The 26,669-nt window shown below is 34.5% G+C and overlaps 1 protein-coding gene across 2 annotated transcripts in view; it reads left to right on the top strand.

Moving 5' to 3' along the window:
• The window catches only part of EEA1 (early endosome antigen 1), a 158,659-nt gene that overhangs the window by 111,935 nt on the left and 20,055 nt on the right, over positions 1-26,669 (top strand). For both annotated transcript variants that reach the window (NM_003566.4, XM_011538814.3), the window contains 7 exons: positions 961-1,161; positions 4,268-4,381; positions 5,927-6,082; positions 8,205-8,344; positions 14,627-14,957; positions 15,660-15,761; positions 18,275-18,469. In NM_003566.4, coding sequence (NP_003557.3) covers positions 961-1,161; positions 4,268-4,381; positions 5,927-6,082; positions 8,205-8,344; positions 14,627-14,957; positions 15,660-15,761; positions 18,275-18,469 — 1,239 coding nt within the window. The remainder of the gene's footprint in view (positions 1-960; positions 1,162-4,267; positions 4,382-5,926; positions 6,083-8,204; positions 8,345-14,626; positions 14,958-15,659; positions 15,762-18,274; positions 18,470-26,669) is intronic.

Below are 26,669 nucleotides of genomic sequence, written 5' to 3'. Positions count from 1 at the left end.
ATAAAAATAATTGAACTTTTAGAGATAAAACAAAAATAACGTGAAATGAAAATTTTATTGGATGTACTTAATAGATTAAGCAAGTAGAAAGCAATATCAGTGAACGTAAAAGACAAGGCAGTTGAAACTGTTCACAATGAAGTACAGAGGGAAAAAAGGATGGGGAAAAAAACACAGTACCTTAGTGACCCATGGGATAGTATTATGTAAGCTAGCATAAGTACAATTAATGTCACAGAAGGGTGGGGAGGAGGAAAATAGAAACTGGCTGAAAAAATTTTAATTTTTAAAATTTCAATGGATGCAAATGAAAAAACTTTAATTTTTGGTTAAAAACATGGTCAAAAAGCTTGGTGAACTCAAAAGCAAGGTACATCAAAGAAATATCAAATGACTTGGATTTCATCTAAATTAAAAAAAAGTATGCTTTTCAAAAGATACCATTATGAAAATAAAAGCCGTAACACAGAATGGGAGAAAACATTTGCAGTATGTGTATCTGACAATTCAGAAATGCCCAGAATATATAAAGAAAACTTATTACTTAACCAAATCAGTGATTGGCTGGAGTTAGAGATGGGATGGGAGGAATGACTGCAGAAGGGCATGAGGAAACATTCTGGGCTAATGGAAATGTTCTTTATCTTGATTGTGGTGATGGCTAGTTAAATAAGTGTATGCATTCATCAAATCTCAAATTGTACAACTTAAATTGAATGAATTTTATATAACTTACAGCTCAATAATTTTAAAAGTAATATCAGTCTTTGAATTTAATGTTATTTCTTGGTATTTGAGATACTATGTTGACATATTTTGGCAAGTGAATAATTTTACTTGAAAAATTTTGAGATAAACTATCATAAAGCACTTTAATATTCTCATGGTTCTTAAATTTAGGTTTCTGAATTTTTGTTATGTCATTTGTGAACTTCACGATTAGTCTTACTTGTATAACAGGTAACTCAACTAACAGAGAAGCTGAAGAATCAGTCAGAAAGTCATAAACAAGCCCAGGAGAATTTGCATGACCAGGTACAAGAGCAGAAGGCACATCTTAGAGCTGCACAAGACCGTGTCCTTTCCCTAGAAACTAGTGTCAATGAATTAAATAGTCAATTAAATGAAAGCAAGGAGAAGGTCTCCCAGCTTGACATACAGGTAATATTAAATTTAATGTTTGTGTAAAGCACCAGTTTTAGACCGTCAAATGTTTTAAATTCTGTTTCTATCTCTTTTTACCTTGCATATTAATTGAAAAAAATTTGAAATAAGAATTAGATAAAGGCTATATCTAGATAATTTGTTGAACTTTCCTGTTTGACTTTCTCCCCTGCTCCCCCTCTCTGTCTCTCCCTCCCTCCTCCCTTCTGCCTTCCTCTCACTCTTCCTTTCTCCTCTCCCTCTCTCTCTCTGTCTCTGTCTCTCTGTCTCTGGCTCTTGCTCTCAGGTGCGCTCTCTCTGTCCTCAAGCTACACCTAGTGAAATCACTAAATCTTTTAGATTTTCCTTGTTTTGATCATGCCATGATTGTTTTTTACATTCAAATTAGTTAGATATTATACCATTAGATTTCTATGCTAAATATTTTTTTGACTTTGATTTTTTAAATCTTCCTTTAAAAGTCTGACTTCTGATTAAAAAAAAAATTCCCTTACATGGTGCCGTATTCTTTCAGAATTCTATATAGCAGTCTTCCTCAATGAGTCAATCATGGGGTAAGCAGTAAGACATAATTTTTTCTCCATTCTTACTATTGATTTCTTATTCTATGATATAGAATAGAAATTTATAGAAATAGTTCAAGGCTTGATTTTACTGTAAGATAATGATTCCACTGGAAAGACGGAATATAATAATATAACTGGCATACTTACTAGAACTTGGAGAGAATATACATTTCTTTCTTTTTTAAAAAATTATTTGCTAGATGAGTTATATGATAGATAACCTGTTATGTGGATGTCAAATATAAGGGGGAGGGGAATGAGGAGGGAATGGGAGTCTAGTGACAATGTGAATGAACTAATATATTAGGGCAGTCTGTGATTCTTTCTGCATTGTAAGCTCCTTTCCTTTACAAAATATTGCTCTTCCACTGCTATTCATTTCAGAACTAGTTCCAGCAATGAGATCAGCCCATTTTTTTGTTACTATCATTGCTCCCATTATCACCTTGACAGTAACTTCTTCTTTGCCATTACTCTGAAAAATATTACCTGTAGATATTTTTTAAGTTTTTGAGGCTTTTTTCAAAACTACTTTAACTTCTTTATGAGCTAGTGTTAGTTCATAAAGTAGGATGTATGGCCTTACTTTTCTTTTGAGAATTAGGACTCTGAGAAAAACCTAGTGCTTTAAGTGATATTATTAATAAAAGAATGTCAACCAAAAGTGCTTAGCCAAAGGGTATTAGCTGTAGCCAGCTGTAGCTTAACTGTTAAGGTAATGTTTTTTTCTGGAGTGTCCCTTTAACTATACAAATGAGGCTTTTAAGCTGTTTCTCAGTTTAAAGTTCCATAATACACCTTTTGATCTCTACTTCCACGGTACTTCCTTGTGTGCATGATCAGGACAGCATCAAGGTACATTATTATGCACATGTATGAGGGCACTTCACTGCTTTTACTGTTTTAAGGGCTTTAATGCAAAAGTTGCAACAATTGTAGCCTTGTAGTAATTGGTACTTAGTCATTGCCTATAAAAAGGGCAAACAGAGGGGCTGGCTATATGAATAGCCACATTTCCCCCCCCGCCCCCCATCAGAAGCCTTTCTAAAATAAGGCAAACTAGTGGAGCAATTACTTAATTTCCCCCAAACTTTCTTTATATGCTACATGATTTTGGAATATACATATATTACATTAGTTGAAGCATGCTGTATAAAAAAGATCATGAGTGATTATCATATGTTAAAATATTTCATGAGTTTTTGGTTCCTCAGATAGATGAAATGCCGTATGTAAATAAAGCTGACTTCTGCAAAAATATATTTGTAGTCTATGCTATATATTCATCAGTATAGATTTACTATGTGTTGTTTAAAGGGAAGATTTCTTTAGTTTTCACCTTTAAATCAATGTAAATGTATATACCTTGATGTAACTATTATTTCTGTGAAAATTAAGTATTTTGATATTGAGAAAAAATTATTTGAATTTTTCCTTCAGCTTGTAATTATCCATACAATGTAAATCTTAGATTTCTTATGTTCATTGATCCTCTCTTCAACCAGCTAAAAGAATGCACCCCCCATTTTTACTGTTTTCTCAAAATATGTTAATTTTAAATACATGTTTTTACATATATATTTTCTTTTTTGCTTTTCTTTCTTTCTTTCTTTTTTTCTGAGACAGAGTCTTGCTCTGTCGCCAGGCTGGAGTGCAGTGGCGCGATCTCAGCTCACTGCAGCCTCCACCTCCCAGGTTCAAGTGATTCTTCTGCCTCAGCCTCCTGAGTAGCTGTGACTACAGGTGCATGCCACCATGCCCAGCTAATTTTTGTATTTTTAGTAGAGATGGGGTTTCACCACATTGGCCAGGATAGTCTCGATCGCTTGACCTTGTGATCTGCCTGCCTTGGCCTCCCAAAGTGCTGGGATTACAGGTGTGAGCCACCGCACTTGGCCTATTTTTTGCTTTTCGTATTCGAGGTGAGTTGTACTAAAGGTATTCCAACACTTAAAGGTGTTACTTTTGATAACAAGATAGATCTTTTTGCTTGTTTGATTTTATTGGCAGCCTTGAATTTTTAATATTTAATATTTTGACTGTGAGCTTCAAAAATAAAACCCTTTAAGTGAGAAGTTATCAGGGAATACTGAATTTTACAAAGTGCCAGTTGTCTGGCTGTTTTGAGTCATTGAATTCTGTAATTCTTGATTATCTTCGGAGTAATCATTTTTTGGGGCATGGTTATTTACTTTATCATAATAGTGGTAGACTTTCAGATACTCACTTCTGAAAATACAGTGGCCTTTTTTGGAAAAAAAGTGTACCTTTTCTTTCTTAGCAAAGGAATACTAAAGTGTTTTGGAATCACATGAGGATATCTTTTTATTATTTATCCAGCATTATTAGGAGTCTTCTCCCCTATCATTCCTATTTTGGCGATTTTCACATACATATTTTTCAATATATAAATCCATATGTTTTTGCCAAGGACTTAATTTTTAAATAGTTTGTTTAGTCACAAAAGGAGTGTGCGTTCAAGCAAGAGGAAATCAAGAACTAAATATAAATTAAATAATTTGTAAATGCTGTTACAGATTAAAGCCAAAACCGAACTATTACTATCAGCAGAAGCAGCAAAAACTGCTCAAAGAGCTGATCTTCAGAATCATTTGGACACAGCTCAAAATGCATTACAAGATAAACAGCAGGTAGGGAAACAGATGCAATTTCATACTATCACCTAGTGCTTTGGTAGATAAATAAATTGCAAACATGTAAAGATGATACCCAGTTTTGTATAATCTTGTGATAGACTTGCTTATCCCCCTTAATTTCTCCATGAGTTCCAGTTGAGTAGTAAAAGTGGGGGTCACATAGATGGAGATAAAAATAACAGCTTTGTTTTTGATAAATTTCTACTAGTGTGCAGGTGTGGTTGGTTTCCTGATATTGTCCTTCTCCCCTAGCCTAGACCTTGGTGTAGAGCAGTAATGTTTCCTCCTAACTTTTGAATTGTTGCCCCATCCCTTCAAGTGTTGGTGATTGGATGGGGCAGACCACCACATTTGTTTTTAGTAGGTAGACTGGACCATGACCCAAATGTACTTGCCACTTGGAAACAGGAAAAGAACACTGTATATTCTACCTCAGTTATAAGAGTTACTCCTTTCTTGGTAATAGGAGGAAGTGAGGAGCTGGAGGGAATACAGAAGCGATACTCTGGTAGAATAGAAGCATCCTACTTTAGGGTCACGGTGAATGTTGCTGGTAGATTTTTCTTAGCTTTTACTGGTAGAAATTTTTAAAATTTACTTGTTATTCAGGGAGTAATATTAGTTATTGGTCTTTTTTTTTTTTAGATGGAGTTTTTTGCTCTTGTTACCCAGGTTGGAGCGCAATGGTGTAATCTTGGCTCACTGAAACCTCCACCTGCCGGGTTCAAGCAATTCTCCTGCCTCAGCCTCCCAAGTAGCTGGGATTACAAGCATGTGCCACCGTGCCTGGCTAATTTTGTATTTTTAGTAGAGACAGGGTTTCACCATGTTGGTCAGGCTGGTCTCAAACTCCGACTTCAGGTGATTCACCCACCTTGGCCTCCCAAAGTGCTGGGATTATAGGTGTGAGCCACCGCACCTGGCTTTATTGGTCCATTTTTTAAAAAACAATACAGAAGTATATCAAGTTAAAAAACAGAACAAAACAGTTTTCTATATTTACCCTTTATGAAAAGCCCATTTGAATGGAATGTTTGCTGTTAAATTTGGTATGTGTCCTACTTTTGGTACATAGTAGATTTACTAGTAATTTTTATTTTATTTTTTTTTTTTTGTGCAACTGGATATTCCAAATGAATTGAAAAGCATCATAAATGTAAACACTGTAATATTTTTAAAAAATAGTTTTAAAAATTGGTGTCTTGAACATTGAAAATATTTAATTATAATATAAAAGTGTTATTTTATTATTAGCCTGGCTAATATTTGGCTCCTAAAATAATTCTTCCTAGATAAACATTGAAAAGTTATTAAACTGTTATACATATAAACTTAGGATCTCAGACTATGCAAGAATTTAGTTCATGTCGTTTATATTGGTAGGTAAGTATAGCCTCTGATATATCATTAGATTTATCTGAGCTCTTACTCCAAATATTTTTTTAAATAAAATTAGAGTTTTCAATTTTACGTTGAACATTTGGCCACTACAATATAGTAAACCTTACCAAAGTTTTCTTCAATTGTACTTTTCTAAAGGAGTTAAATAAGATTACTACTCAGTTGGATCAGGTCACTGCAAAGTTACAAGACAAGCAAGAACATTGCAGTCAGCTGGAAAGTCATCTTAAAGAATATAAAGAGAAATACCTCTCTTTAGAACAGAAAACCGAAGAGCTAGAAGGTCAAATTAAGGTTTGTATAAAAGAAGTTGAATTTAGTCATATTTTCTACTTCAGTAGCAATGGAATCTCATGACCTACATGGAATCAAAGATTTTTAGTTAACAAAGAAAGGTGAAGTTGTGGTATAAAATTTTTAAAAAATTGCTTGTAATTTTTCATGTCTTAAGTTTGAATTCTATCTTTATTTTTAATGTCTCCCTTAATGAGCATCTTTTATAAATGACAGTCAACTTACATACTGATTCCATTGTAATGTGTTACTTTTTCCAAAGACAGATAACCAGGTATCTACTCTACCATTACAAGGAACTTCTCAATTTTTTGTTGTGAAGTCTCTTCTGTTCCTTCATTCTTCCATCTCTTACCAACTTACTCCAATATCACATTTCAGATATGGTAGACTTTTCCTTTTTAGAACTTTATACCCTTTGGATTTTGCTTCTAATTTAAAAACACATTGAGACTATGATAAACTGTATCTTACTTTAACACAACTCCATATGAATGTGTTGATTTACTGAAGAGATAAGATGATTAGACATCTCAGAAGGATTTGACCTGAGTTTTTGTGTCCTTCAAATTAGAACCGCTTGCTGCTTAACTGCCTTTGGCTAAAAATAAAAAAAAAAAAAATTTTTAAAAATTGAGCTACTATCAGTTAAACAAAAACTTCTCAAGTTACTATATATGTAACTTATACTTCCTCAACCCGGTGAAGCGTGTGTGTATAAGTTTAGAGTCATGAAATGAATATATGTACATACATACCAATATAGTATGGGGGAATAATTACATTTACAATTCTGTTTATAGGTTCCTTTTTCTTTATGACAAACGATAATAGCAAAGGCAAGGTACTTTAGGCATGGTTAAAAATAACAGAAGTATTATTTTACTGAAAAGTGTCTAATGAGAATTCTTTTTGGGTACCTATTAAAAATAGTGGTTATTTAGAACTGAGTTTTTATTGTGATTATCAGCTCTAACACTTTGTAATTATCATTTTAGGGAGTATCATATTTTTTATATAGACATGTATAATTAATTTAGCTACATCAAATATCTTTTATTTAATGAATATTTTCAGTGTAGGTCAATGGTAAGGGCTACAGATACCAATCAGTTTATAAAATATTTAGTGTGCAAAATCACTACCACTGCAAGGAAATGCATTGTGTAAAGCTTTTCAAACTTATATTCAACAGTTTGATTTTGTAAGTTTGTAAAAATACACACATAATTACATGTATACATGTGAGATGCAAACTATATTCTGAAGAACAACAATGTCATCTAGTCCAAGAGATTAAAGAAGCAAAATCAGGAACTTAATTGGCTTTATATTTAGGATCAATAGGTGTTAATGAGAAGGAGTACGTGAGAACTTCATTTTAGTTTTAAATATCTTATAATTACATCAGTGTTTTTAACTGTGACTATAAAAGATAATATGTTTTAAGTGAGTAGATCAGTGAACCTGTTAACTTATTTTTTCATACTTGAGTTAATAACTTTTACTGAGATAATAACTATTTATGTTTCTATGTTTCTTTTAAGTTGATTGTTTCATTCAGAATTAATTTTTTTTTTTTTTGAGATGGAGTCTCATTCTGTTGCCCAGGCTGGAGTGTAGTGGTGCGATCTCAGCTCGCTGCAACCTCTGCCTCCCAGGTTCAAGCCGTTCTCCTGCCTCGGCGTCTTGAGTAGCTGGGACTTCAGGCACCGGCCACCACGCCTGGCTAATTTTTTTTTTTTTTTTTTTTTTAGTAGAGATAAGGTTTCACCATGTTGGCCAGGCTGGTCTCGAACTTCTGACCTCAAGTGATCTGCCTGCCTCTGCCTCCCAAGGTGCTGGGATTACAGGTGTGAGCCACCGCGCCCAGCCCAGAATTAATTTTAAACACCAACACTTAGTGGCAGTCTATCATGTATAAAGCTTTCTGCTGGGTCTTCTGAAAGATTTTAAAATAAATAACACCCTTAGTAATGGTTTCAGAATATGTTTTTTATTATAATAAATTTTTTTTTGTATGTCACACCTGTTTGAATATAAACAAAAATGTTATAGTATTTAATAATAGATTGATAATTACTAATATTAAAATGGCTGCCATATCATATTTCTTTCATAGAAACTAGAAGCTGATAGTCTTGAAGTTAAAGCAAGCAAGGAGCAGGCTTTGCAAGATCTACAACAGCAAAGACAGCTGAACACAGATTTAGAGCTCAGAGCCACAGAATTGAGTAAACAACTTGAAATGGAGAAGGAAATGTAAGCTAAACCACTTTACTTACAAATTAAGGGAAAAGATTGTGAACTAAGTATTAAAATTTCCTTCAGATTTAAATTTTGCTATCGTAGTGCTTAAAGACTTATTAGATATTTATTTTGTGTTGATTTTATAAACTGATGTTAATGTGAATGAAAAAATAAAGCCATCATAATAGGGTTAAACTTCTCTAGAAAGGACTGAAAACTTAGTTTTATAAAATTTGGGTCATCCAGTTTCTTTTCAACAATGATATGGTGCTCATTTCTCTGGCATAAACCTTGTTTTATGTTGTTCACAAATTTGAATAAATTACTGTAAAATTAAAAAATTCGGGGATATTTATGTGTTACCCAAAAGTAGTTAGCCTTCTAGCTATACCAAATAGGGAATGGATTCTTTCTTATAAGAAGTGATCTTCTCAGCCTGGGTAGCATAGCAAGATTGCTTGAGCTTGGGAGGTCGAGGCTGTCACACCACTGCACTCCAGCCTGGGCGACAAAGTGATACTCTATCTCAAAAAGAAAAAAAAAAAAAAAATAACCTCAGCTTTGTGATGCATTTTGGCAGATTGTCTATGTTTATGAAGACAAAGGAAACACAAAAACCAGTGTGCCTTCTTGTTTTTCTTATTGATGCGAAATTCACACATAGTTAAATGCACAGATTTTACATATGTACTTTGAGTTTTAATCAGTGTATATTCTGTGTATCTGTGGATCTAGCCACAGCACCATATAGGACATTGTCATCACTCCAGGAGTTTTCTCACTTGCCCTTCTAGTCAATACCTTCCTTATCCTTTTCCTGTAGACAACCACAGTCTATGTGTCTATATGGTATCCTGACACCAGTATCATGGTATTGGTACCTAATATCATAGTATCTAATATCATAATTATGATATTGAAAGTCATAAATGTAGCTAAGTTGGTGTGGCATAACACACAAAAGAAACCAGAAGATATTTTTAATATACCATAAAATGGTATATTTTTAATGTAGCTTTATGATATTAGATATTAATCCTTCACCTTTATTATTTTTCAAGATTGTCTTGACTCTTGTAAGTTCATTGCTTTTCCATACACATTTTTGTATTAACTTGTACATGTCTACAAATAAAACTGTTGTATTTTGATTAGAATTCCCTTGAAACTATAAATCAATTTGGGGAGAAATGACATCTTAACAACATTGAGTCTTCTAATACACAAACATATGTCTCTTTATCTACTTGGGCCTTCTTTAATTTCTCTGAGCAGTATTTTATGGTTTTTAACATAGACATCTTGTACATCTTTTGTTAAATTTATTCCTGAATATTTTTTTAATGCTATTGTAAATGTAATTGTTTTTTAAATTTAATTTTCCACTTATGACTAGTATAAAAATAGAATTTTTAAATATATATTGACTTTTCTGCCTATAACCTTGCTCAATTTACTTTTTAGTTTTAGTTGTTGTTTGTAGAGTTCTTGATGTTTTCTAACTAGACATTCATGTTATCTGTGAATAGAGACAAATTTACTTCTTCCTTTCCAACCTATAGGCCTTTTATATCTTTTTTCTTGCTGGCTGGGACATCCAGTAACATTGTGAATGTAAACAGTATTGGCAAATATCTTTGCATTATTTCTAATCTTAGGCAGGAAATATTAAATGTTTCATCATTAAGTTTGAGGTTAGCTGTAGGTTTTTCTGAGATTCCCTTTATCAGATTGAAGACATTACCTTTGATACCTAGTTATATATAAAAAAAAAATTATCGGCCTTGTGGCTCATGCCTGTAATCCTAGAAATTTGGGAGGCTGAGGCAGGCAGATCATCTGAAGTCAGGAGTTCGAGACCAGCCTGGCCAACAGGGTGAAACCTCGTCTCCACTAAAAATACAAAAATCAGCAGGGGATGGTGGCACACGCCTGTAATCTCAGCTACTCGGGAGGCTGAGGCATGAGAATTGCTTGAACCTGGGAGGCAGAAGTTTCAGTGAGCTGAGATCATGCCACTGCACTCCAGTGCCACTGCACTCCAACCTGGGCGACAGAGCGAGACTCCGTCTCAAAAAAAAAAAAATTATTAAAAAAGAAAAATTACCGTGCTTGGATTGAATTTTATCACCTTTTTTCCTGTATCTGTTGATGTGATCATATGGATTTTCTGTTTTATTCTGTTAATATGGTCAGTTACATTGATTGATTTACTGTTAAACCAACCTTGCTTTCCTGGGATAAATTAACTTGACCATGCTGTATTACCTTTTTGTATATTGCTGTTTTTGATTTGATAATACTTTGTTAAAAATGTTTCATATATTTATGAGGGGTATTGGTCTGTAGTATTCTTTTAATATCATTGTCAGGTTTTGATATCAGAGTTATACTGGCCTTAAAAAGGAATTGAGAAGTATTTCCTCCTCCTTTCTGAAATAGTTTGTATGAGATGGATATTATTTGTTTCTTAAAAGTTTGATGGAATTCACTAGTGAACTGGCTAGGCTTAGAGTTCTCTTTCTGGATTGTTTCATTTGGGGTTCAATTCATTTAATAGACATAGAGCTATTCTAATTTCCTGATTTTTTTTTCTTGAGTCAGTTTTGGTACATTGTGTCTTTCAGAAATGGGTTCATTTCCTCTAAACTTCAAGTTTATTGGCAGTTGTTCATAATATTACACTTTTAAGGTCTGTTAGGATCTGTAGTAGTGTTCCTCCTTTATTCTTAATCATGCTAATTTGTCTTTTTAAAAATCAATTTAATTAGAGATTTATCAGTTTTATCAGACTATTGTAAAAAGCTTTTGATTTATTTTGTCAGTTTTCTATCTTATTTATTTCTCCTCTTTATTGTTTCCATCTTTAGACCTTATTACTTTGCTTTTTTTTAATAGCTTTTAAATGTGAAAGCGTCACTGTGTCTGTCTACATTTTGTAGTATCTGTTTCTTTTTTTCAGTTACCCACTTTTCACTTGTCAATGCTAGATGTAAGATTTCTGCAGATGGTAGTATGTAGCCTTATTCTAATAAAATCAGTGTATTATGACAGTTTTGCCACAGATGGAATAAATTATCTTGAAAGAGGGTATCTTTTTTCTAATTTGCACTAAAGTGCTCAATGGATTCATGGCAGCTCTGAGTATAAGGGTGGATTGGTTTAGAAGTTATTGGGACCTATACGATTTATTAGTATATGAAATTTCAAATGTCTCTGGTGGCAGAATGGGCATGTGCTTCTGAACATATATAGCCATAGAAGTGCTTAGCTGCAGCATCATTCGTTCACTCCCAAGGTAGAATTAGTCTCTTGCCCAGCTTATCCTTGATGTTGATGCTGAATTTGGGTCCTGCCATGATGAGATCTTCAATGAACACATCACTCACCATTATTTTGATGGATAAAAATCAGTTCCACCCAATTCATTTGAATGTCTTCATATAACTGGTTACATTTGAGTACATTTTGTCTTTAAACATCAAATCACCTGCTCTGACTGAGTTGATGGACTTGACTTGTGTCAAGGGGATGAGGGCTCTTGACTGTTCCAGTAGTAAAGGTAGAGACTAAGAACCTGAGAAAAGTCCTCTTCAGAAAGGTGAAATAAAACCCATCAGAGTTGATGATTAAGTTGTTTCACACCTTCATGGTTTTCATCCTTGTTTGGGGATATGATGGTGAAAATATTCTCATTTTCATATCTAGTAAATTGGGTCCTGATGCTTTGAATCGGAGGTTATAGAATTGCATCTTGTGCCTCAGGTGGCATTCCTCCTCACGGTAGTTTCCAGTGCCTAGGTATTTGAGGAGCATATCTGATCCATTACATTACCAACCAAATGGTTCATCATTATCTCTAGAATGCAGGCATCAGTCCATGAAGATCATCTCCGAGATGGCTTTTGTTCTGTTCCTCAAAAACTCTGCAGGCCCAATGGTTCTTTCTGTTTCCAATGGGCCCAATGGAAGTGGACCCATTTTCATTCTATGTTCTAATCTCATGGTTCAGAATTCACTTACAGGGCTCCCACATCCTATTGGGGTAGGAAAACCTTTAAGATCTTTCTTGCCTATGTACTTTGTACATACATTTCTCCTCTGAGGTCTTCTCACATTTCTGGAGTACTACCTAGGCAAGGAGGGCTGGGGTCCCTTCTGCTCTTATATCAGATAAACATATAGAGACTTTGACTAAACCCCACCCATGAGCCCAGGGCTTAGCCCAAATAACAGGATACAGGGCTCCCCTTTTTGAGGGCCCCCTTACATTTATACACCCAATGTTTCCCTCCCATCTTACAATGTATTTTCATTCCTCTGCAGTTTAATATATTTTCTGATTTCCTTTGTGATTCCTTCTTTAATGTGTAGGTTATAAGTATGTTTACTTTCCAAATATTGAGGCTTTCCTAGGTATATTATTGTTACTGATTTTTTTTTTTTTTTTTTTTTTTGAGACAGAGTCTCACTCTGTCGCCCAGGCTGGAATGCAGTGGCGTGATCTCGGCTCACTGCAACCTCTGCCACCTGGGTTCAAGCGATTCTCCTGCTTCAGCCTCACGAGTAGCTGGGATTACAGGTGCCTGCCATCATGCCTGGCTAATTTTTGTGTTTTTAGTAGAGATGGGGGTTTCACTGTGTTAGCCAGGTTGGTCTCGATCTCCTGACCTTGTGATCCGCCCACCTTGGCCTCCCACAGTGCTGGGATTACAGGCGTGAGCCACCGTGCCTGGCCCTAATTTCTAATTTAATTTTATTGTGGTCAGAGAACATTCTTGGTAAAATTCAAACTTTTGAAAGTAAGTCTTATTTAAGGCCCAGCATATGGCTTATCATAATTAATTTTCCATGTGCACATATATGTACTCTGTGTTATTGGGTGGAGTGGCTATAAATAACAATTACAGTGCTGTTCTTATTGTCTATATTCTTGCCAATTTGTTCCTCTGGTTGTTCTATCAGTTTCTAAAAAGAGATATTATAGTTTCCAACTATGATTGTGGACTTGTTTATTTCTTCCCTTAGTTACTTAAAAAAAAACAAGAAGTGTCACAGTGACTATGTAAGCCTCTATTTCTGTTTTGCTTTCTTTGATTCACATAGTCTTATGATTTTGTAATTAATTTTGAAAAAGTTAAGCAGCATAGTAAATAAATATATCAAGTCTTAATTCTAAGGTTGCTTAACAGGGATTTTAACTATATTAAAATGTAAAATAATATTAGTATAATGACTTTTCCATTTGGACCTTTAAAAATCAAGGAGGAATAATATCTTGTGAACCTATTAAGCTTTAACATCTTTTCCAGCTATTTTTTAGGAGGTAAAAGTGTGTTTCTAGAACTAAAAAATTAGATTTCGAGGTATAAATACAGTTTTGATATTGTATTAATACACAATTTCAAATACTTTATTAGTACATCTTTTAACAACCTCCCTTTAACATATTGACTTATTTTTATTGGTTACAAATTTATTCTGATTACATTGGAACTAGTGTGCATTCTAGAAATACTGTTACTTAGCATCTGGTTTTGACTTTTAAAATGGCTGTTATTTATAGTGTATTGAGGGTTTTGCTGTATAATTTGCATAGTTCCTTTTATGAAAACAATAAAAGTCTATAGCTTTCTAAAGCTATAACTTTATTTCTTCATTCTTGTTGCTTTTTTCATTCATGTATAAGAGAACTATATTAAGGAACAAATGATAACAAATCCTTTGTATAATCTGCTAGCTTCTAGGGTTAAAGTAAATCATTTGTCTTCCCTCTATATTGTAAATAAAATATTTTTTTAATTTTCTTTCTTTGATTTTTTTCTGGGTTAACCATAAATATTTTGAAGCCTAAGAACTGTCACACATAATGTGTTTCATGTTTTCAAGGAAAGAGACAAAGTTCTCTCTGTGTTGGAGAACTAACATAATGAATAGATTCTTTATGGAAAAACGTTTCTGGCTGTTATAGAGTAGAGGGTCTGTGATACATAGTTTTTTTCCTCGGGATTAGTTGTGGCGGACAAAAATGGATTAAGTCAGGAAGCTTAGATAGTTTTGTCTTCACTACTAACTTATTTGACTTGGGAAAAATAATCTACATCTGTTAAATGATCAAATGAGATGTTCTAAAGTATTTTTCAGTGGTGCGATTTTATGAAATTAAATTATTTTTACTTGTGAACTATACAAAAAAGTTTCAGAACTCAGTAATTGTTTGTGATTAATTTTGAATGGTAAATTAGAAGTGGTAAATTATGTGTTATTTAAAAAGATTGTTTTTTAAATATTTAGAGTATCCAGTACAAGATTGGATCTACAGAAAAAATCTGAAGCCCTTGAAAGTATCAAGCAAAAGCTTACCAAGCAAGAGGAAGAAAAAAAAATCCTGAAACAAGATTTTGAAACTTTAAGTCAAGAAACAAAGATTCAGCATGAGGAATTGAATAACAGAATTCAAACAACAGTAACAGAACTACAAAAAGTGAAAATGGAGAAAGAAGCTTTAATGACAGAGCTTTCTACAGTAAAGGACAAACTATCAAAAGTTTCTGATTCTTTGAAAAACTCTAAAAGTGAATTTGAAAAGGAGAATCAGAAAGGAAAAGCCGCTATATTAGACTTGGTTAGTAGTTTACATTTACTTTCTTAGGTAGAAGTGATTATTTTATTTAAAATGTACTGATTTTTCTGCTTAATTCACAGTTTGCTTTTCTTTCCACATTTAAATAGTTTAAAGTAGTTCTTATGAGGAAATTAATTGGGATTGCTTAACCTGAGAAGAAGCCCAAGATAATAATGTGTGTGTATGCACCTGTGTGCACGCCATTTTCTAAAGGCCAAGAATATTTTCAGTTGAATATTAGTCTTTCTCATGTGTGTTGTTATGTTCTTTTCTGTTTAGAGAAAACATTTTCTATCTGTACACTTTTCCTATTGTGATCATTTCTTAATTTATTGTTTCCTAAGTTTTCTTGCTTCCATTTTCTTGAAGCCCATTGCTATAAAAGTAGTGTGGCAAGTTAATTATAATGAATTGTGTGACATAAAATGTGATTTCTAAAGTGTTCTAAGATATCATTTTAATGTTTAAAATATGCCATTGTGACTTGGTTGATGATCAAAACCCTTAGTGTTTTGTTGTCCCTCCTCCATTACTTCTGTAATATTTTCCTAGTTTTATCATTGAAATGGATGATCCTGTCTCATCTTAGCTCATCATAATTTTAGTTTATTTCTTCGTGTGTATCTTACTAAGGTTATAAACTAAACTTCTTAAGGTTATTACAAATATTTTTTATGTAATATAGTTTTCATTTTTTTTAAGGAAAAAACTTGCAAAGAATTAAAGCATCAACTTCAAGTGCAGATGGAAAACACACTTAAGGAACAGAAGGAACTGAAAAAGTCACTTGAAAAAGAGAAGGAGGTAAGATTTTTTTTTTGTAACATAAAATCTGTAAAGTATAGTAAGGTCTTTATATTTTCAAATAAATATATAAAGCATGTTTGTTCTTGGGGGCATTTCCACAGATAATTTTTTTTTATAGTTTTAAGAAAAATAAGCATTTTCATACTGATATTTAGGTCATAGGTTCATTTCTCTGAAATGTAACAAATCATGTATATAGTTTAAAATTGTTATTTGTATTTTGCCTACTATTAAAAAGACTTAAGCTAGTTTATAATCAAAGACCCAAATAAAGAAATATTATTAATAAAGGTAGAAAATTGAGTCAGCTAACTACAGGGTTAAGGACCATTTTTATGGTTGAAAAAAAAATCTTAAAAGGCTTTCTATAGAAATGACCTTTATTTCATGGACTCTTTATGGCTCTTTATTTCATGGACATTTATACACATACTAATGTATACTTGATAATGGTTGTAGAACAACCAAAATATTTTTCTGTGGTTAATGCTTCTATTGTTTCCAGCAAAAACAGACAAGCAAATGAGTAAACACATGGGTATAATATATGGTTGTTGCTCTCTGAAGCCATACCTGCTAGCTGCTAGAGTCTAGGTATGCAACTTTCTAGAAAATCTGATTTGATAAAGGAGCAAGACATAGTACTGACAAGTATTTGATGTGATTGTATTCTAGTTGTTGATTGAAAGCAGACTTGTGTTGTAGATGCCAGCCATGTAAGTAGCAAAATTATAATTGCTTCATGCCCAAGTTCTGAATCAAGATTGTTCAAATTTATATCCTGGCTATGCCATTTATTAGCTATGCCATTTCGCCATCTTTTAGACCAAATACTTAATCTCTGTGCTCTAGTTTCTATATGATAGAGTCTATATGAATCTATGTGATAGAGTTATTGTGAGAAATAAATGGGTTAATATCTTTAAAGTACTCAGTACACTGACTATAATAAAGTAAATGCTCATGCTAGTTATTATTTTATCATTGGTTATATCATATATCATCCTTATTGTCATACTCTCTGACTCCTGTTTTGCATAAAAATATTTTGCTATTCATTGTGGAGATAAGCTGAGACGTCTATATATAACACTAACATTTTTTCAAAAGTAACTTTGGATATGGTCAAATGCTTGAATGTAATGCTAGGTTCTTAGTAAAATATGCATAGAACATGAAAACATGACTTTGGTTGGAGGGTGGGAGATAATAGTGGTTTACCTTGGTGACAGAGGAACTTCAGTGTGACTTCTGTATGATGTCTGAATTTGAACAGAAACATATCCTAGTGGATTGTACAAACAAGGTAGTAGTAAAATATGCCCCAGATCTCTAAATGAGGTAACTATTCTACAGTGTATTATTATTATTATTTTAAACAGAGTCTCGCTCTGTCAGCCAAGCTGGAGTGCAGTGGCGCAATCTCGGCTCACTGCAACCTCCACCTCCTAAGTTCAAGCGATTCTCCTGCCTCAGCCTCCCAAGTAGCTGGGATTACAGGTGCCTGCCACCACGCCTGGCTAATTTTTGTATTTTTAGTAGAGACAGGCTTCACCATGTTGCCCAGGCTGGTCTCGAGCTCCTGACCTCAAGTAACCTGCCCGCGTTGGCCTCCAAAAGTGCTGGGATTATAGGCGTGAGCACCTGGCCTGTGCAGTGTAATTTAATGTCATCAGACAGATACTAAATGTATTTTGTCAAAAGTGATTTTGTTTTTATCATAGTTACTATAGAGCTATTCTTTGCGACAACTGTGGCCAATAGGCTTAGTGGCATATGAGAATTTTTTTTTTTAATTATTATTTTTTGAGATGGAGTCTCTTGCTCTGTTGCCCAGGCTGGAGTGCAGTGGCACGATCTCGGCTCACTGCAAGCTCTGCCTCCTGGGTTCACACCATTCTCCTGCCTCAACCTCCCGAGTAGCTGGGACTACAGGCACCTGCCACCACACCCGGCTAATTTTTTTGTATTTTTAGTAGAGATGGGGTTTCACTGTGTTAGCCAGGATGGTCTCGATCTCCTGACCTCGTGATCCTCCCGCCTCAGCCTCCCAAAGTGCTGGGATTACAGGTGTGAGCCACCGTGCCTGGCCGAGAATATTCTTGAAAGACAGTTGACATCCAACAATTTAGACATTGATGTTGACATACCTATTTTCCATAATACAAGAGAATACTAATGTAGATCATTTACAAGCTGTAACTATACAATTATAAGTCAAAAAGAAAGGTAGTGTTAAAAAAAATAATAAAGATTAATCCAGCATGTCACCTAATAGTGAATAGTGTTGGTTATGAAAGCAATATGAGGGCAGGTATCTTTACTAATTATCTGTAGCCAACAGCCTCAGTAATTTCTTCCTAGAGTAGTGCCTGGAGTGTAGTAGTTACTCAGTAAATTGTCTTTTGAATGAACAAATGAAGGCTAAATAGATTTTTTTTTCTAGTTACTCAGTACATCGTCTTTTGAATGAACAAATGAAGGCTAAATAGATTTTTTTTTTCTTTCAGGCTTCTCATCAGTTGAAATTGGAACTCAATTCAATGCAGGAACAACTTATACAGGCCCAGAATACTTTAAAACAAAATGAAAAAGAAGAGCAACAACTTCAGGGGAACATAAATGAGCTAAAGCAATCAAGTGAACAGAAGAAAAAACAAATTGAAGCACTCCAAGGAGAGCTTAAAATTGCTGTTTTACAGAAGGTAGTGATATATTTGTTTACTTTTTATAGGAAGAAAAACTTGGCAATTAAGAAAATAGTATGATGATTAATACAGATGGATAAGTTGCAACATTGAAAAGTTTACATAAGCTAATTTTTTTCTAAGTTTAATATATGAAAGCATTTGACTATATTATCAAATACCTGAGTCTGGATTTCCATTCACTATAACTCTCTTGTCAGATAATTGTTATTTAAAATTATTGTACTAATCATTTGATAGACATGAAACTATCTTATTAAAAATAATATATAACTGGCCGGGCACAGTGGCTCACGCTTGTAATCTCAGCACTCCAAGGCAGGCAGATCACCTGAGGTCAGGAGTTCAAGACCAGCCTGGCCAACATGGTGAAACCCCGTCTCTACTAAAAATACACAAATTAGCTGGGCGTGGTGGTGCATTCCTGTAATCCCAGCTACTCAGGAAGCTGAGGCAGGAGGCAGAGGTTGCAGTGAGCTGAGATCATGCCGCTGCACTTCAGCCTGGGCGACAGAGGTACTCTGTCTCAAAAAAAAATAATAATAATAATAATGTAACACTTAAGGAAATAATTTATGCAACATTCATCGTGTATTAGAAAAATTTAAAGGAATTTAAAATAAATCATTCTTATTAAGGGCTAAGAATAAAAATTACAAAGTGGGATATCTTAAAAACATTCACTAGTGTAAAGCTTCATATAGTTTTAATTATTAATATTTTAAGTTACACTGTAATGGTTTCCATTTCCAAATCTATTCTAATTTATTATTGAGCATATTTTTTATTCTTAAGTGTTTTAATACTTGTCCAGACCAAGAGTTGGTAAAAATGGATTATACTTAATATGAAATATTTGAGCACAATGAGTTCCTTCTCTACTGTTAGTATGTCCATGTTAATTGGTCTATGGAGAAGATAGTAGAATCCCTCCTATGTAGAATAAACTAAATATATCATGCCATTAAGAGTTGGCTTTCATACTGCTAAAGTACAAAGTATATAAATTAAAACAATCAAAAATACACATTTTATGTTGACCACTGTTTTTGTAGCTATTATTATGCTGCTTTACAAAATAGTAGTTCTTTAATAATACAACCAAGAGTAGACAAATGTGTCTATTCTTTTGTTTTTCTTACCATATATAATCAAAAGTCAACATGTAATTATCACAGTGCATACTTTGTTGTATGCTTTCATATCCTGAGGTCATTTTCTTCAAAATATACTAGCCTTGTATCCAAATATTTACAAAATCTTCGTTTTTATAGCATCGTAACTTAGTGAAATAAAAAACACAAGTATTTTTAGCATGTTTTCTTATTTAAAAATTATGAGTTATAATAATATTTCTTTTGGATTTGTGATTAATATATATTGCCTGTACAGTTGACCCTCCATATCTGTAGATTCTGTAACTGCAGTTGGAGTTGAAAATATTTGGGAGAAGAAAAGCAATAAAAAGTAACAGTACAGTATTAAAAAATAATACAAAATTGGCTGGGTGCAGTGGCTCACACCTGTAATCCCAGCACTTTGGGAGGCTGAGGTAGGCAGATTACTTAAGGTCAGGAGTTCGAGACCAGCCTGGCCAACATGGTGAAATCCTGTCTCTACTAAAAATACAAAAATTAGCTGGGCATGGTGGTGTGCACCTGTAGTCCCAGCTACTCCGAAGGCTGAGGCAGGAGACTCGCTTGAACCCCAGAGGCAGAGGTTGCAGTGAGCCAAGATCGTGCCACTGCACTCCAGCTTGGGCAACAGAGTGAGACTCCATCTCAAAAAAGCAAAACAAAACAAAACCAAAACACCCAAAATTTAAAATACAGTAAAACAACTATTTACATAGCATTTACATTGTATTAGGTATTGTAAGTAATCTAGAGATGTTCAAGCCAGGCAGATCTGAATGCAAATTTTGTTTAATTTTGTTAAATTTGGACACACATTAACTTACTGGTCATAGAGAAATGATTCATCTTTCTGAGCTCAATTTAATGGAGTCATAGAGTTGTTGTAAAGATTGAGATAATGTATTTAAAGTTTCTAGTACTGTGACTCATACAATGTGGAAGTAAAATAGTTGTTGGATATTATATGGAAGTATAGCAAACTGTGACCTGAGAATGTCAGTGTATATGGTAGACCATGTAATAATAGGCCATGACAAAGTTATCATTGTCACTGGCCCATGGTGAAGTAGGGAAAACAAGGATAATGTTTAAATGGGTATAGATGTATGTGTGTACACACTTAAATATATATATAAAACATAAAAATATGTATACACACATTATGTCTAGATATGTAGTTTTATATCTATAGCTATAGAGTTATATATATAAGTAGATATCTATAGATATATAGTTTTCCACATTGAAGGTCATAATGCACTTACACATTTTCTGCATATATATATATAAATAAAAAGTAATACTACAGCATTAAAAATACCAAAATTTAAAATACAGTAAAAACAACTATTTACATAGCATTTATATTGTTAATGCTATGTTACCTAATGGTATTGTAAGTAATCTAAAGATGATTTAAAACATTATATATAGCATAAGACTATTCGGGAGTTACTGATCTAGAATCAAGAAAGCATGCTGTTAAGTCAACAATCCCTCACCAACTTTGCTCAAAATCTAATGTGGAAATATAAAGTGAATAGGATATGGCCCCTTATTTTCAAGCAGCTTATAATTTAATGAGAAAGCAAAATGTAAAGCAAAAGAAAACTGTATTATATAATGGAGCAGTTATCAAACTGTTGCATTTATCTGTTTTTTTTTTCATTTAACTTCTTCACTAATGGATTTGAGTTCCTCAAAGACAGAGAATTTTGTCTTTTCTAGCAAATAAGCTCTTAATCATTTTAAAAAAATGAATGAATGAGTTTGTCAAAGGAAAAATATTGAAAGCCCAAACATGAGCCCAAAGAGCTATTATGGCCATTATTGAGACTTCACAGAGAGCTTAGTTAAGAGTCAGAACAATAATTAAAGAGTTAAGAAACCTAGATTTGTGAAAAAATGTTAAAGAAAAGAAGCAGTATTTTAGAAAAGAAAATGTGTAAGTGCATTATGACCGTCAATGTGAAAAAGATATCCAGGAATTCTTCAATGTGAATTGGAAGAAGAACTCTATGAAAGGAGGATGGCATGGGATGTTATCAGATACTGTATAGGGAGATCAGCTCTCTGCTCCCCGATAGGCAGTTAGCACCAATTCCTATCATTCTGTCTCCTAGCTTTCTTGAATCCATCCTTCTCATTTTCCACTGCTACAGCCTTAGTCCAGACTTTCTTTTTCTCTTATCTAGGCTGTTAATATAGCCTAATAAATGTTCCGGGCCCTCCAGTCTATTTGTCATTCAATCACTTGTTTCAGAAATATTACTAGGCACTTATTTTATGCCATGGCACAATTCTAGGTGCTGAAGACGACACAGCTGCGAATAAAACAGACATGGGACCTGTTCTTGTGGAGCTTATACTTTAGTGCGTAGAGAAACTAAACAGAGAGGTATGAAAGATAGTGATGGGACATAATTCTACTGAAGGTTGGGTGATCAAAGAAGCTTTGCTGAAGAGATTTGAGTTGATGTTGGTATTTTCTAAAAACAGATGACCAATATGGTTAAATTTGGTTCTGAGGGAGAAGGTAACATGAGATGAGCTCAGATAATTAGACAGGGGCCAGATCATTTATATGCAAATTAGATTATGAGATAACAGAATGGTATATTTTATTCTAAGGGCAATTGGACTCTATTGGAGAATTTAGAACAGAGAATGGTGGGGTTTGACTAAAGGGAAAATAAAGGATTTTGTGAATGATTATAATGATTTGTGAATATATTTTGGAAGTTGCATCATCAGGACTTTCTGATAGATTCAAAAGTGAGAGGTAATAGGAAGAGGATCAAGGATAACTTGGGTTTGTGCATGTGGGTAGTTGGTAATGCCATTTATTGGGGGAAGTAGCAGCTTTTTTTTTTCTTTTATTTAAGTTCTAGTTTACATGTACACAACATGCAGGTTTGATACATAGGTATACATGTGCCATGTTGGTTTGCTGCACCCATCAACTCATCATTTACATTAGGTATTTCTTCTAATGATATCCCTCCCCCAGCCCCCCACCCCCCGACAGGCCCTGGTGTGTGATGTTCTCTGCCCTGTGTCCAAGTGATCTCATTGTTCACTTTCCACCTATGAGTGGGAACATGCGGTGTGTGGTTTTCTGTCCTTGTTATAGTTTGCTGAGAATGATGGTTTCCAGCTTCATCCATGTCCCTGAAAAGGACATGAACTCATCCTTTTTTAAGGCTGCATAGTATTCCATGGTGTATATGTGCCATATTTTTTTTTATCCAGTCTATCATCGATGGACATTTGGGTTGGTTCCAAGTCTTTGCTATTGTGAATAGTGCTGCAATAAACATACGTGTGCATGTGTCTTTATAGTAGCACGATTTATAATCCTTTGGATATTTACCCAGTAATGGGATTGCTGGGTCAAATGGTATTTCTAGTTCTAGATCCTTGAGGAATCGCCACACTGTCTTCCACAATGGTTGAACTAATTTACACTCCCACCAACAGTGTAAAAGTGTTCCTGTTTCTCCACATCCTCTCCAGCATCTGCTGTTTCCTGACTTTTTAATGATTGCCATTCTAACTGGCGTGAGATGGTATCTCATAGTGGTTTTGATTTGCATTTCTCTGATGGCCAGTGATGATGAGCATTTTTTCCTGTGTCTGTTGGCTGCATAGATGTCTTCTTTTGAGAAGTGTCTGTTCGTATCCTTTGCCCACTTTTTGATGGGGTTGTTTGTTTTTTTCTTGTAAATTTGTTTGAGTTCTTTGTAGATTCTGGATATTAGCCTTTTGTCACATGGGGAGATTGCAAAAATTTTCTCCCATTCTGTAGGTTGCCTGTTCGCTCTGATGGTAGTTTCTTTTGCCGTGCGGAAGCTCTTTAGTTTAATTAGATCCCATTTGTCTATTTTGTCTTTTGTTGTCATTGCTTTTGGTGTTTTAGTCATGAAGTCCTTGCAATGCAGGCTCTTTTTTGGTTCCATATGAACTTTAAAGTAGTTTTTTCCGATTCTATGAAGAAAGTCATTGGTAGCTTGATGGTGATGGCATTGAATCTATAAATTACTTTGGGCAGTAAGGTCATTTTCATGATATTGATTTTTCCTATCCATGAGCATGGAATATTCTTCCATTTGTTTGTGTCCTCTTCTATTTCATTGAGCAGTAGTTTGTAGCTGTCCTTGAAGATGTCCTTCACATCCCTTGTAAGTTGGATTCCTAGGTATTTTATTCTCTTTGTAGCAATTGTGAATGGGAGTTCACTCATGATTTGGCTCTCAGTTTGTCTGTTAATAGTGTATAGGAATGCTTGTGATTTTTGCACATTGATTTTGTATCCTGAGACTTTGCTGAAGTTGCTTATCAGCTTAAGGAGATTTTGGACTGAGACAATGGGGTTTTCTAAATATACAATCATGTCATCTGCAAACAGGGACAATTTGACTTCCTGTTTTCCTAATTGAATACCCTTTATTTCTTTCTCTTGCCTGATTGCCCTGGCCAGAACTTCCAACACTATGTTGAATAGGAGTGGTGAGAGAGGGCATCCTTGTCTTGTGCCGGTTTTTAAAGGGAATGCTTCCAGTTTTTGCCCATTCAGTATGATATTGGCTGTGGGTTTACTATAAGTAGTTCTTGTTATTTTGAGATACGTTCCCTCAATATCTAGTTTGTTGAGAGTTTTTAGCATGAAGGCTGTTGAATTTTGTCGAGGGCCTTTTCTGCATCTATTGAGATACCATGTGGTTTTTGTCGTTGGTTCTGTTTATGTGACGGATTACATTTATTGATTTGCATATGTTGAACCAGCATTGCATCCCAGGGATGAAGCTAACTTGATTGTGGTGGATAAGCTTTTTGATGTGCTGCTGGATTCGGTTTGCCAGTATTTTATTTGAGGATTTTCGCATCGATGTTCATCAGGGATATTGACCTCAAATTCTCTTTTTTAGTTGTGTCTCTTCTGGGCTTTGGTATCAGGATGATGTTGGCCTCATAAAATTAGTTAGGAAGGATTCCCTCTTTTTCTGTTGATTGGAATAGTTTCAAAAGGAATGGTACCAGCTCCTCTTTGTATCTCTGGTAGAATTCAGCTGTGAATCTGCCTGGTCCTGGACTTTTTTTGGTTGGTAGGCTATTAATTATTTCCTCAATTTCAGATCCTGTTATTGGTCTATTCAGAGATTCAACTTCTTCCTGGTTTAGTCTTGGGAGGGTGTATCTGTCCAGGAATTTATTGATTTCTTCTAGAAATTTTCTAGTTTATTTGTGTAGAGGTGTTTATAGTATTCTCTGATGGTAGTTTGTATTTCTGTGGGATCGGTGGTGATATCCCCTTTATCATTTTTTTATTGCATCTATTTGATTCTTCTCTCTTTTCTTCTTTATTAATCTTGCTAGCAGTCTATCAATTTTGTTGATCTTTTCAAAAAACCAGCTCCTGCATTCATTGAATTTTTTTGAAAGGTTTTTTTTGTGTCTCTATCTCCTTCATTTCTGCTCTGATCTTAGTTATTTCTTGCCTTGTGCTTGCTTGTGAATTTGTTTGCTCTTGCTTCTTTAGTTCTTTTAATTGTGATGTTAGGGTGTCGATTTTAGTTCTTTCTTGCTTTCTGTTGTGGGCATTTAGTGCTATAAATTTCCCTCTACACACTGCTTTAAATGTGTCCCAGAGATTCTGGTATGTTGTGTCTTTGTTCTCATTGGTTTCAAAGAACATCTTTATTTCTGCCTTAATTTTGTTATTTACCCAGTAGTCATTCAGGAGCAAGTTGTTCAGTTTTCATGTAGTTCTGCGGTTTTCAGTGAGTTTCTTAATCCTGAATTCTAATTTGATGGCACTGTGATCTGAGAGACAGTTTGTTGTGATTTCTGTTCTTTTACATTTGCTGAGGAGTGCTTTACTTCCAATTATGTGGTCAATTTTAGAATAAGTGTGATGTGGTGCTGAGAAGAATGTATATTCTGTTGATTTGGGGTGGAGAGTTCTGTAGATGTCTGTTAGGTCTGCTTGTTGCAGAGCTGAGTTCAGATCCTGGATATCCTTGTTAACCTCTGTCTCGTTGATCTGTCTAATATTGACAGCGAGGTGTTAAAGTCTCCCATTATTATTGTGTGGGAGTCTAGGTCTCTTTGTAGGTCTCTAAGGACTTGCTTTATGATTCTGGGTGCTCCTGTATTGGGTGCATATACATTTAGGATAGTTAGCTCTTCTTGTTGAACTGATCCCTTTAACATTATGTAATGGCCTCTTTGTCTCTTTTCATCTTTGTTGGTTTAAAGTGTGTTTTATCAGAGACTAGGATTGCAACCCCTGGTGTTTTTTTGCTTTCCATTTGCTTGGTAGATCTTCCTCCATCCCTTTATTTTGAGCCTATATGCGTCTTTGCATGTGAGATGGGTCTCTTGAATACAGCACACTGATGGGTCTTGACTCTTTATCCAATTTGCCAGTCTGTGTCTTTTAATTGGGGCATTTAGCCCATTTATATTTAAGGTTAATATTGTTATGTGTGAATTTGATCCTGTCATTATGATGTTCGCTGGTTATTTTGCCCGTTAATTAATGCAGTTTCTTCATAGCATCAATGGTCTTTACAATTTGGCCTGTTTTTGCAGTGGCTGGTACCGGTTGTACCTTTCCATGTTTAGTGCTTCCTTCAGGAGCTCTTGTAAAGCAGGCCTGGTGGTGACAAAATCTCTCAGCATTTGCTCATCTGTAAAGGATTTTATTTCTCTTTCAGTTTTGAAGCTTAGTTTGGCTGGATATGAAATTCTGGGTTGAAAATTGTTTTCTTTAAGAAAGTTGAATATTGGCCCCCACTCTCTTCTGGCTTGTAGGGTTTCTGTCGAGAGATCTGCTGTTAGTCTGATGGGCTTCCCTTTGTGGGTAACCCGACCTTTCTCTCTGGCTGCCCTTAACATTTTTTCCTTCATTTCAACCTTGGTGAATCTGACAATTATGTGTCTTGGAGTTGCTCTTCTTGAGGAGTATCTTTGTGGTGTTCTCTGTATTTCCTGAATTTGAATGTTGGCCTGCCTTGCTAGGTTCGGGAAGTTCTCCTGGGTAATATCCTGAAGAGTGT

Source organism: Homo sapiens, chromosome 12, assembly GCF_000001405.40.
Source record: "Homo sapiens chromosome 12, GRCh38.p14 Primary Assembly".
NCBI lineage: Eukaryota > Metazoa > Chordata > Mammalia > Primates > Hominidae > Homo > Homo sapiens.
Note: the sequence above shows the minus strand (reverse complement) of the source record. Positions and strands in the feature narration are given on the sequence as shown.